Source organism: Homo sapiens, chromosome X, assembly GCF_000001405.40.
Source record: "Homo sapiens chromosome X, GRCh38.p14 Primary Assembly".
NCBI classification, from domain to species: Eukaryota; Metazoa; Chordata; class Mammalia; order Primates; family Hominidae; genus Homo; species Homo sapiens.
Genome location: NC_000023.11, coordinates 18,828,516 through 18,841,178, shown reverse-complemented (window position 1 = coordinate 18,841,178; position 12,663 = coordinate 18,828,516). Strand labels below are relative to the sequence as shown.

Sequence of the window (12,663 nt, the reverse complement as noted above, 5' to 3'; positions counted from 1 at the left end):
TTTACAATGAGTTGTTCAGCTTCAGCTTATAGGGCTTTAGGAACAGAGCAGTTTTTGTTCTTAGTTGGAGTTTTATAGCCAGTTATTGGAGGAAACTAGAATTCAGAAACAAGTCCAGTCTACAAGTAGATAATAAAAACTCAAACACAGTGAACAGGGCTATGATCTAGTAACGGGGTACTACATTTGTTCTTCTGAAACACAATTTTTCTCTCTACAGTCACTCTCATTCCTACTAATCAGAGGTAAACTAATTTGTTTGCAAAATAAGTTTACTCTCATTAAACTTGGCCTGGTTGTTTTACATAAACGCAGCAAGAATAATCACTTAGGTTCTTTTAAAAGCTGCTTGGTTGGAAATTTTGTAAGGAGTCCCACACTGGACTTTTTAAAACCTCTCAATAATAGACCGGGCGCGGTGGCTCACGCCTGTAATCCCAGCACTTTGGGAGGCCGAGGTGGGTGGATCACCTGAGGTCAGGAGTTTGAGACTAACCTGGCCAACATTGTGAAACCCCATCTCTACTAAAAAATACAAAAATTAGCCGGGCGTGGTGGCACGTGCCTGTAGTCCCAGCTACTCAGGAGGCTGAGACAGGAGAATTGCTTGAACCCGGGAGACGGAGGTTGCGGTGAGCCGAGATTGTGCCACTGCTCTCCAGCCTGGGCGACAGAGCGAGACTGTCTCAAAAATAAAATAAAATTAAAATTAAAATTAAAACCACTCAATAATAAAAAGCCAAACTAAGGCAGACATCAGACTTTGCCTGCAGTATCTAATATCTTGAGAGTGACTTTTTTTCCACACTGTAAGGCTGGGAACCCTTGAAAGCAGGCATTTTATGCGCATTCTCAAATATGACAGTCCAGTCAAAGCCTTAGTATTTTAACCAGTGTTGTCAATTGTATCCTGTTATAAAGCAAGCAAATGCTTATTGAACTTATGTGAATAACCAGATTGCCATAAAAATAAGAATACTCATGAATAGTTTCCAAATTCTGGAGGATAAGGTAGGAAGAAAAAGCAAATGTTTCAATTTTTTTTTTTTTTTTTTAAACGGAGTCTTACTCTGTCACGCAGGCTGGAGTGCAGTGGCGTGATCTTGGCTCACTGCAACCTCTGCCTCCTGGGTTCAAGCGATTCTCCTGCCTCAGCCTCCCGAGTAGCTGGGACTACAGGCATGTGCCACCACGCCCAGCTAATTTTTGTATTTTAGTAGAGACAGGGTTTCGCCATGTTGGCCAGGCTGGTCTCAAACTCCTGACCTCAGGTGATCCACCCACCTTGGCCTTCAATTTTTGTTTACAAAAATAAACTTTATCAAATTGTTGTAAACTATAGGTAGCTTAAAAGAAAAAAGTGTTCTTAAATCTGAAAAACAGGGCTGGCCACGGTGGCTCATGCCTGTAATCCCATCACTTTGGGAAGCCGAGGTGGGCGGATCATGAGGTCAGGAGTTCGAGACCAGCCTAACCAACATGGTGAAACCCAATCTCTATTAAAAATACAAAAATTAACCTGGCATGGTGGCACACACCCGTAATCCCAGCTACTCAGGAGGCTGAGGCAGGAGAATTGCTTGAACCTGGGAGGTGGAGGTTGCAGTGAGTGGAGATTATGCCATTGCACTCCAGCCTGGGGCACAAGAGTGAAACTCTGTCTCAAAAAAAAAAAAAAAAAAAAAGCAGATGAGGCCCCTTCCCTGTTCCTAGCTGGAGGGACACGAGTGTCCTTGGGCCATTGTCCTTGGACGGGGCCCTGATAAGGCCACCCAACAGCCTGGAATCCCGGGAGCCCACGCTGGGTTTAAGTGACACTTCTCTAGATGAAGGGTTAATAGAGGACTTGACTATAAAACAAGGCTGTGGAGCAACTGCCAGATCTGCACAGATCAAAACAAACCCTCCAGGAGCTCACACAGAACCAGGTTGTATTGTCAGACACACTGGAACAAGAGATTTCAAAATTTAAAGACTGTCATTCTATGTTGGATATTAATGCTTTGTTTGCTGAGGCTAAATACTATCCTGCCGAGTTGGTGAATATAAGAAAAGAGATGCTGATGCTTCATGAAAAAAACATCAAATTTTTAAAAAAAGAGCACAGGCCAGGCATGGTAGCTCAGGCTTGTAATCTCAGCACTTTGGGAGGCTGAGGTGGGCGGATCACTTCAGGTCAGGAGTTCGAGACCAGCCTGGACAATATGGTGAAACCCCATCTCTAATAAAAATACAAAAATTAGCTAAGCGTGGTGGTGCAAGCCTGTAGTCCCAGCTACTTGGGAGGCTGAGGTAGGAGAATCTCTTGAACCCGGGAGGCGGAGGTTGTAGTGAGCCGAGATCGTGCCACTGCACTCCAGCCTGGGTGACAGAGCAAGACCCTGTCTCAAAAAAAAAAAAAAAAAAAAAAAAAAAGGACTTAAACTGCAGCAAAGGAGGCAAAAAAGAGTTGGAAAAAGAGCAGCAATGAGAGGAGTTTGAAAGAGAAAATTAGTTAACTGCCAGACCAGCTAAAAGGACGTGACAATTTGTGTTTGTGTGTTTTCTTCTCCTATCCTATATTTGGATTAAGATGGCTTAAGTGTAGACTGAAGTTGAGGTAGTGGCTTATACCGTTATGTCAGATCTTGAAATCCTTATTCCAGGATTACTGTGTCTCCATGCCTTTCTTCCTAAATAGTAGACATCATACTGCTTTGTTTTTGATATTTATATGTAAGTTTTTCAAATTTTATTTAATTTTAAAATGTACTATTTTGACCTTGAATCATTTATAAACTGGAAAATGGTTTATTATGAGTCTAGACTCTAAGTGGTTAAAAATTCAAATGAATTTTTTAGCTTCTTAATGAATATAGATTTAAAACTTTCCAGTTCTTATTTTATGAACTGGCTTGCGTTTCTGGCAATACAATGCTGATTTTTAGTAATTGTCTTTTCATTGCTTAGTTAAGAAGAAATGCCAGCTGTTTAATCACATCTACCCCTGGAAAAGAGGTGAGCCTTGTGAAGAACATAATGGAAAAGTGCACGCACAGGAAATAACAGCAGTTCAGGTGTAGTTCAGGTGAGCAAGATGCCAGATAGATTCTACTAACCAGTGTCGTTGTCACTGCTTTTGAAGCTTTTGGGTTCAAAGATTACATCTAGGCCGGGCGCAGTGGCTCACGCCTGTAATCCCAGCACTTTGGGAGGCCGAGGCAGGTGGATCCCTTGAGGTGAGGAGTTCGAGACCAGCCTGACCAACATGGTAAAACCCTGTTTCTACTAAAAATACAAAATTAGCTCGGTGTGGTGGCACATGCCTGTAATCCCAGCTACTCGGGAGGCTGAGGCAGGAGAATTGCTTGAACCCAGGAGGTAGAGGTTGCAGTGAGCCAAGATGGCGCCACTGCACTCCAGCCTAGGCAACAAGAGCGAAACTCCGTCTCAAAAAAAAAAAAAAAAAAATTCTTGAAGTGGAATGATGTATAGCAACGACCCACTTTATAATGATAGAGATGGTGAAAAATTAGTAAATAGTTTCACAAAGAGGTAGCATGATACCTTTAGTGTTTTCTAGATTTTTTTCTGGATACTATATGTAGAAACTTACTATGTGAGGAAAATATTATGAGGTTTCATTGTTTAAAATCAAGAGTGTATTATTTACTGTTTTACAGTATTATTTAATATCCAACTGGTCTCCAATCTCTATTACATAGGGACTGTGCAGAGCCTGTAAAAGTGTATGAATGTGTATCTTCCATAATCCACATTATATTTTTGGTAAGCTGGAATCACTACCTCTGATCACGTATCAGGCTAATGATGGAGAAAGCATTGGATTTAAGTTCAGGGCTAAGAACTGGTTTGTTTAAAAGTTTAAATTGTGGCCAGGCACGGTGGCTCATGCCTGTAATCCCAGCACTTTGGGAGGCCGAGGTGGGCAGATCATGAGGTCAGGAGTTCGAAACTAGCCTGGCCAACATAGTGAAACCCTATCTCTACCAAAAATACAAAAATTAGCCAGGTGTGGTGGCACGCACCTGTAGTCCCAGCTACTTGGGAGGCTGAGGCAGAAGAATTGCTTGAACCCGGGAGGCGGAGGTTGCAGTGAGCTGAAACGGCACCATTGGCGTCCGGCCTGGGTGACAGAGCAAGACTCTGTCTCAAAAAAAAAAAAAAAAAAGTTTAAATTGTTTGAAAGGGCATTTGTCTTCTTTAATGAATGATGATCTCACAATTCAGTTGACTTTGACCTAATATTTAAGAGTATAAATATATTTTCTTTGAAAAGGCTGAGTGGTGCCCTCAAACACTTGCTAAAACTGCCTAGGGCAGGATTCATTAGGGCTTGCAGGACAATGTCACCTAAATTGCTGAATGTACTCATTGTAATGTGATATCTGACAGAGGGGGTGCAGTGTTTCTGGGTCATTTTGGACCAACTGCAATGGTTGTTTCAGATGCTGGTTCCTGCACACTACTCTCAATCTACTGAAGCACATCTGGTTTTTTGTTTTGCCTTGCTTTTAGTTTTTAAAGTTTCCCCCAGTGATTCCAATGCACCTGAAAAATTGAGAACCACAGGCTCAGTGGTAGGTCAGGGTTTCCCACACTAGGCTGCACAGCATTATCACCTGGGAACATTAAAAAATACAGACATTCTCAATTCTTTTAGTGTAATTAGCTATGATGTGGATCCCATGTATTTTTTAAAGAGCTCCCCAGATAATTCTGATGTCAGGAGCCACCGGTATAGACTATCTAGTGAGTTGTATTATAAACAATAAAATACTTTAAAAGCTACCCAGTAACTTTTGGGATTAATTTTATGAAATAAATTCTGAACTGCTGTTTTTGATATAGTCAGACTTAAGACTGAAACCTAGCAGGCAGGCAATAGATATAGAATTCTAGTTAATTGAAATTTTGTGACCTGTATAAAAATAAATCATGTTTATTGAACGGATGGCAAGGTACATATACTTTCAGAATTGTATTAAGTTTTGAAGACTTTTTAAAAAAATGTCAAAATGTATATATATTAGTATCCACTATCTTAAGGTCGATTATAAACCAGAAGTACTGTTATCTTGGTGATTAAAATCTATAACTTTAGCTGTATTTCAATAACAAAAACATATCTTACTAGACTGAGTGTGGTATCTCATGTATGTAATCCCAGTGCTTTAGGAGGCTGAGGTGGGAGGACTCATTGAGCCCAGGAGTTCGAGGCTGCAGTGAGCTATAATTGCACCACTGCACTCCAGCCCAGATGACAGAGTGAGACCCTGTCTCTAAAAAAAACAAACAACATATCTTACTGACTAAACCTGAATGGAACTCATAATTAGTCTTTCTGTATTTTTCCACAAAATAGCGAATTGGTACTTGGGAGACTTCTGTTTTTTTGTTGTTGTTGTTGTTGAAAAAACTGCCTTTGTTCTGAAATTATATCACCTGTGTTCTGAACTAAGATGATGGGAGTTCATTTTGTATTTACTTTGCAGTAAGTATCATGTAAATACGCAAACGTTGAATGTAATATAGATTGTGATCGCAGTGGTTTTTTGGGTGATACAGTTTATAAATATACCAATTATACACCCTCATACATTTGTCTGATTTTGAATTTGTAAAATGAGGACTACTGTTTACACATTTAATACAAAAAAAGGTCTCCGGAAAAAAAAAAAAGATGAATACTCTAAGAAAACCTTGTTTTAACATAGGGGACTAAATTTTAGTTTTGTATTAGTGTACTTTTGATCTCAAAGCTTAATTTTTAGAAAACCCTATAAATAATTCCCTTCCAATTTTTGCCAACTTGATCACATACAAAATTCTTTTTTTTTGAGACAGGGTCTTGCTGTGTCACCCAGGCTGGAGTGCAATGGCGCAGTTGCGGCTCACTGCAGCCTCTGCCTCCCGGGTTCAAGTGATTCTCCTGCCTCAGCCTCCCGAGTAGCTGGGATTACAGGCATGCACCACCACACCCAGCTAATTTTTTTATTTTTAGCAGAGACGTGGTTCTGCCATGTTGGCCAGGCTGGTCTCGAACTCCTGACCTCAAGTGATCCGTCCACCTCGGCCTCCCAAAGTGCTGGGATTACAAGTGTGAGCCACCTCGCCTGGCCTACAAAATTCTTTTCATAGGATTCATCTCCTACACACCTACAACTTGCTCAGATCTCTTAGAACTTGCTCAAATCTTGTACAACTTGCTTAAACCTTCAGTTTTGTTCTATACTTCCTTCTTTTTCATATTGGAACAACCAATCATTCTACTTTATGACAAAAATTTACTTTCCTTTTTCCCTTATCATTTTGACAACACAAATTCTTCCTCATACAAAAAAAAAATTACTTTTTCTCTTTTCAACTTTTTTTTAAGCCAAACATACGTTTTCATACTTGTAACTTTCTTGACATCCCTCTTACTGGTTCCTCCCTACCTCATTTCTATTTCCTTCCAAAATCCTTATTTTGAAACAACTTTTAAATAACCTCCAAATTAGACAAAATTATTCTTTTTAAGAAAAAAGTATCCTTCTATTTTTTCCTCACCAAAACACATCTTACTTTCTTTAGTTTGCATACAGAATTCCTTTATAGTAGTTTTATTATTGGAATTTTTAATCCTTAGCAATTGTGAATCAGTATTCTATAAATTAAGTTTCATAATTTCTAGAAATATGCACTTTCTCAAAGTACAATTTTTCATATTAACAGACCAAAATATATTTATTTTTCCATAGCTTTTCTTTAAATAGACTAAAATATATTCAGTCTTTATTTTATCTTATTTTTTGAGACAGAGTCTTGCTCTGTCACCCAGGCTGGAGTGCAGTGGCGCGATCTCACTGCAACCTCCACCTCCTGGGTTCAAGCAATTCTCCTGCCTCAGCCTCTGAGTAGCTGGGATTACAGAAGCCCACCACCGCGCCCAGCAAATTTTTGTATTTTTAGTAGAGACGGGGTTTCACCATGTTGTCCAGGCTGATCTGGAACTCCTGACCTCGTGATCCGCCCACCTCGGCCTCCCAAAGTGCTGGGATTACAGGCATGAGCCACTGCACCCAGCCATATTTAGTCTTTCTATAAAATTTAAGAAGCCAAAAATAAATTTAAAGTTACGTTCAAATTAATGTTTCAGTATTCTAACTTAATTGGAAATGACTCAGACAGTTCATGAATATTACTTAATCATAACAGGACTTTAAGTTACGGTAAAAGGTTTTCAAAACTGAAAAGTTCATTTATCAATTTGTATACCATTTACATACACCTAATTTACTCATTTTTAACAATTATGCTTGAGTTGTTCATTAAGCAAAGCTAGCCATCACCTCAAGTTATTTTTCAAAAAAATCAGGAAACTATAAGTATTACAGAAGCAAAAAGATTAATAGGTTAAACATGGTTCTTCCACTCTGCTTTTTTTCCCTTTCCTATTGGGACGGGTTAGTTCTCTTGAACTCCTTCGTGGGCGGAAACTGGAGTAGCTCATTCCACTCAGCCCGCACTGGCTACTCTTGGCAGGAGGGAGCGTGCAAGCGAGTGAGTGCAGGAACCAGAGCAAATGAATCCTGGGACCGACTGGTCACTCTTCTCTGGTGGGAGCAGGCTCTTGTGGGCCCTGCAGCAGCGTCCAAGCATGTTACGACCAATGCTCTTTCAGTTCTGCCATCCGGGGATGGCCAAGTGCCAACCAGGTCAGTGGAGGGTCAGGGTGGCAAACCCTGCCCTCTCAGAACCTGGGTTCATGTCCGATGAACTGTTAGAAAGGTGATGAATGCAGACTTTATTGAGCGGTGGGTGGCTCTCAGCAGAAAGGGAGGCTGGAAAGGGGATGGGAGGGTGATCTTTCCCTGAAGCCCGGCCGTCTCTGGCTGGGCTCCTCTCCGAAGCCGCACCGCCTGAAGTTAGCCGTGTCTATCCATAGTCTCTGACGCGCACTGCTTCTCTGCTCACCACTCAGCTGCTTGTATCCTTGACATTCAGCCACTTGTGTTGCTCTGCCAGCTGAAGTCTTTCATCGGCAAAGGATAGGGGCAGGGCAGGCCAAAAACGGCAACATTTGGCTGGAAAAAAACGGGGTCAGCTGTTTTCACTTAGGGCCAAGGTTCCAGGCTTATGGGTTGGGTTTAGCCAGGAGCCCAGCCCTTCTGTATCACCATGACTGATAGGTATCAAGATTTTTTTTTTTTTCATGTATTTTGCTCTTTGGTTGGCTTTATAGCTTTATTATACATCTAAGAGGTAATAAGCTTGTTTGACTAGTAAATTTAGGGGAAAAATATGCTTGCTTTATAATTAATGACTTTAAACACTTTTTCTTTAAGCCAATTAAATAGAGCTCTTTTATATATTTTGGTATGAAAATATCAGATACACATAACACATAGATATACAAACATACACACAGAAAGAAGCAGATCTTATTGCTTTCATTAAGATTCATTTGCCCGGTCGGGCGCGGTGGCTCACTCCTGTAATCCCAGCACTTTGGGAGTCCGAGGTGGGCGGAACACGAGGTCAGGAGATCGAGACTATCCTGGCTAATACTGTGAAACCCCGTCTTTACTAAAAATACAAAAACAATTAGCCGGGCATGGTGGCCGGCACCTGTAGTCCCAGCTACTGGGGAGGCTGAGGCAGGACAATGGGGTGAACCAACCCGGGAGGCAGAGCTTGCAGTGAGCCAAGATCACGCCACCGCACTCCAGCCTGGGCGACTGAGCAAGACTCCATCTCAGAAAAAAAAAAAGATGGACAGGAAAAGCAACTTAAACAAAGGTAAACGTTGATATGCAAGCTTTTAAGCCAGTGCCTTTCTCATTGTAAAAGTTTCTAATGGTTTAGGTGCAGAGAGGGAGATAGCCTTACAAATGGAGATTTCCTTTACAGATATAAATTTCTCTTAGAAAGAATTTCAAAATCCTGTTCCTTACTTAGATCATTGCCTTCAGGGCAGAGCTTTTTAACAAACAGGGCAAAAACTAACCAGTAGAAACTTACCAGAGCTGTCTTCGGAGGCCTGTCAGTCTTGGTGGTTAACATAGAGATGATCAGAGGTAGGCAGCTTGTTTTTAAGGGCTTCTCTCAAGTTCTTTGGGAGCAGTCCCTTTTTCAATGTTTTGATCATTTGCACAAATGACAACTAGTTTTTCGAAACCGCAGTTTTAGGGGTTGCTTATTGGAATGCCCTGGGGCAGGCCCACAAGTCATTCTAGGTTGTTGGTTGCCATAGAGCTGAAATACTTTGGAAATAGCTTTCCTAAGGTCATTTGCAATCTTTCAGGGTTTGTCTGACCCGTAAATGGACCAGGTGGGGCTTGTCAGGTCACTAATATAACTCTTAGGAAAATACCATTCTGCCTCTTTCATCTATTTTTGGGCTTTCCAGATCCCACCAACATGTAAATTAGTTGGTGTAGATCAGGTATCCCGGCATCTTTTGTTTTTTTTTTTTTTTTTTTGAGACAGAGTCTTGCTCTGTCGCCCAGGATGGAGTGCAGTGGCGCCATCTTGGCTCACTGCAAGCTCTGCCTCCCGGGTTCACGCCATTCTCCTGCCTCAGCCTCCTGAGTTGCTGGGACTACAGGCGCCCGCCACCACACCCGGCTTTTTTTTTTTTTTTTTTTTTTGTATTTTTAGTACAGACGGGTTTCACCATGTTAGCCAGGATGGTCTCGATCTCCTGACCTCGTGATCCACCCGCCTCGGCCTCCCAAAGTGCTGGGATTACAGGCTTGAGCCCCGCGCCCGGCCCCCATCCCGGGATCTTAAGTTATAATTAAGACTGTGAATTCTGGCTGGGCATGGTGGCTCACGCCTGTAATCTCAGCACTTTGGGAGGCTGAGGTGGGCAAATCATTTGAGGTCAGGAGTTCGAGACTAGCTTGGTCTAAATGGCAAAACCCTGTCTCTACTAAAAGTACAAAAATTGGCCGGGCATGGTGGTGGGTGCCTGTAATCCCAGCTACTTAGGAGGTTGAGTCAGGAGAATTGCTTGAACCTGGGAGGCGGAGGTTGCCGTGAGCCGAGACTGCGCCACTGCACTCTAGCCTGAGTGACAAGAGCAAGACTACGTCTCAAAAAAAAAAAAAACACACTGTGAATTCTTCAGATTAAAGGTCTTCCCTGGGTTTGCAAAATTTTTAACCTATGGCCCTGAGCTGTTTTTATCCAGGCAATGTAAATCACTCCAGGATTGTCTCCTGAATTTTCAGATGGTTTTATGCTACAAGGAAACTGTTTAACTGTTTTTTTTTTTTTTTTTTTTTTTTTTTTTTTTCACAGAAGAAGGGCAATTCAGACAGAGTATTAATAGACTAAATATTCAGGCAAAGTAGGATAGAGAGGAGCAGTAGGAGTTACATCAGTTTTACCATCCTTGGTGTGGGGGATATCTTCCATTTCTAGCCTTTCATTAGCTCTTTGCAATGAAGCTTTTAAAAAGGCTATTTTGGAATCCTGGGCAGGTAACCAAGCAAAAATGTCAGCAGATTCTAAGTAGGCAGGGGAGGACAGAGAGAAAGAGAGCTTAGAAGCCTCTACATGCTAATCAATTATATACATCCCATTCAGACTTTAACCCTATAGCTACAGTCTGCTAATTTAGTTCTAAGAATAAAAAGAGGTTGGGCGTGGTGGCTCACGCCTGTAATCCCAGCAGTTTGGGAGGCTGAGGCGAGTGGATCACGAGGTCAGGAGTTCGAGACCAGCCTGGCCAACATGGTGAAACTCCGTCTCTACTAAAGATGCAAATCAGCCAGGCGTGGTGGTGCGCGCCTGTAATCCTAGCTACTCGGGAAGCTGAGGCAGGAGAATTGCTTGAACCCGGGAGGCAGAGGTTGCAGTGAGCCGAGATTGCACCATTGCACTCCAGCCTGGGAGACAGGGCGAGACTCCCTCTCAAAAAATAAAAATAAAAAAAATAAAAGAATAAAAACAACCTTGGGAGGCTTGAACAGTCCACATAAAGACCACTGGAACTCCAAATGGTCCTTGGTATAATCTTTTTTTGTTTTTGTTTTTTTTGAGATGGAGTTTCACTCTTGTTGCCCAGGCTGGAGTGCAATGGTGTGACCTTGGCTCACTGCAACCTCTGCCTCCTGGGTTCAAGTGATTCTCCTGCCTCAGCCTCCCGAGTACCTGGGATTACAGGTGTGCACCACCATGTTGGGCTAATTTTGTATTTTTAGTAGAGACAGGGTTTCACCATGTTGGTCAGGCTGGTCTCAAACTCTTAACCTCAAGTGATCCACCTGTCTCGGCCTCCCACAGTGCTGGGATTACAGGCGTGAACCACCGTGCCTGGCCAAGTCTTTGGTATAATCTGCCCATAGGTTTAAAAACGTGCACAAGAATGGACCATAATGTTTGAATACATAGCTGTCTGGAGTCCCTAAAGGGGGACTATATTTGCATGCATTAGAACTTGGGGTGTCCATTATGTTTCTTATTAATCTTTCTAGATCAAAATCCAGAATACCAAAGACAGCCAAAAGAAAGAAAGATTTAGACATAACAGTCAGTATGCTAGTCACAAATAAGGTGCAACCCACATTTCTGTCTAGCCATATTCTTGGCAACTCCCAACCTTTTGGTTGGTTGACCAAGTTCTCAGAACACAAAAACATGACAAATAGGAAACCTATAGCTGTCCATGGGAGGGAAAGAACCACTAACAAAGGGGCAGCCTAAAGCCAAGAGTACTCAGTTCTTTAGAAATTAAGGATCCTATTTTTATGTTGGAACTTGGGTCTCTCAGAGCAAAGTTGGTTTTGGCTCTGAAATCCCTTTAACTTAGCTAATGATTTTTCTTACCTCAGCACACAAGAAGAGAAGAAATAAAGTGGATAGATAGCTGTGAATTCTGAAAGCCAGGCTCACTCCTACAGTAACAGTCAGTTACTGCAACTACTGTCAGTTACCTTTGAAACTGCAGCCCCTGCCGGTGACTCATCATCCACTGCAAACCCAAAAGCCATGTGTCCTCTTATGGCACAAACCCTTGGTATTTGTTTTAGTCTGTTTTGTGTTGCTATAACAGAAAACCTGCAACTGGGTAATTTATAAAGAATGGAGGTTTATTTAGCTCATGGTTCTGGAGGCTGGGAAGTCCAAGATTGGGTGGCTGCATCCAGTGAGGCCCTCATGCTGTTTTATAGCATGGTGGAAAAGTGAAAGGAGCAGGGGAGAGAGAGCACTCACACACCAGAGAAAAGGGGGCTGAACTTCTTTAATTGCTAACTTACTCCCATGAGAAAGGCACTAATCCCTCTTAAAGACCCCACCTCCCAAAATGGCCAAAATGGCAATAAAATTTTAACATGAGTTTCAGAGGGGACACACCATATTCAAATCATAGCAGTACTCCAAAGTCAAATGCTCACTCTTGGCATTTACCTTGGATTTGAAGGCCAAAAAATTCAGGGGTCTCAATGCAAAAACAGCAGAGTCTGGCACAAAAGGAACTTATTTACAACACCTAGGACTCTGTGAGGAAGACAGGGGACCTGAAAGGGGTCAGCAGCACGTCTCCTGCATTCCTCAAGAGGCCCTTAAGAGTAATTAGTAGTCTCCTTATGGTCCCTTTTATGGTCACCAGATTGGTCAAAAGATAACATTTAAAGATCTTAACTGGCTTTGTTTGTGATTCTAGAATCA

General features: G+C 42.0%; 1 long non-coding RNA gene and 1 pseudogene across 1 annotated transcript, besides 1 other annotated feature; one reads left to right on the top strand and one right to left on the bottom strand.

Annotated features, from left to right (window-relative positions):
- BLOC1S6P1 (BLOC1S6 pseudogene 1) lies at positions 1,699–5,667 on the top strand (annotated as a pseudogene).
- Positions 5,432–9,054, bottom strand: LOC124905254 (uncharacterized). The gene is made up of 2 exons (XR_007068404.1): positions 9,007–9,054; positions 5,432–8,069 (listed from the first exon to the last, which is right to left on the bottom strand). It is a non-coding gene; the product is annotated as an uncharacterized LOC124905254 (long non-coding RNA).
- Positions 7,241–8,164: an enhancer, noted in NCBI's record as "H3K27ac-H3K4me1 hESC enhancer chrX:18851133-18852056 (GRCh37/hg19 assembly coordinates)". NCBI's record gives its function as "activates a minimal SCP1, AML or CMV promoter by ChIP-STARR-seq in naive H9 embryonic stem cells {active_cell/tissue: H9 hESC(naive)}" and the evidence as "EXISTENCE:reporter gene assay evidence [ECO:0000049][PMID:30033119]".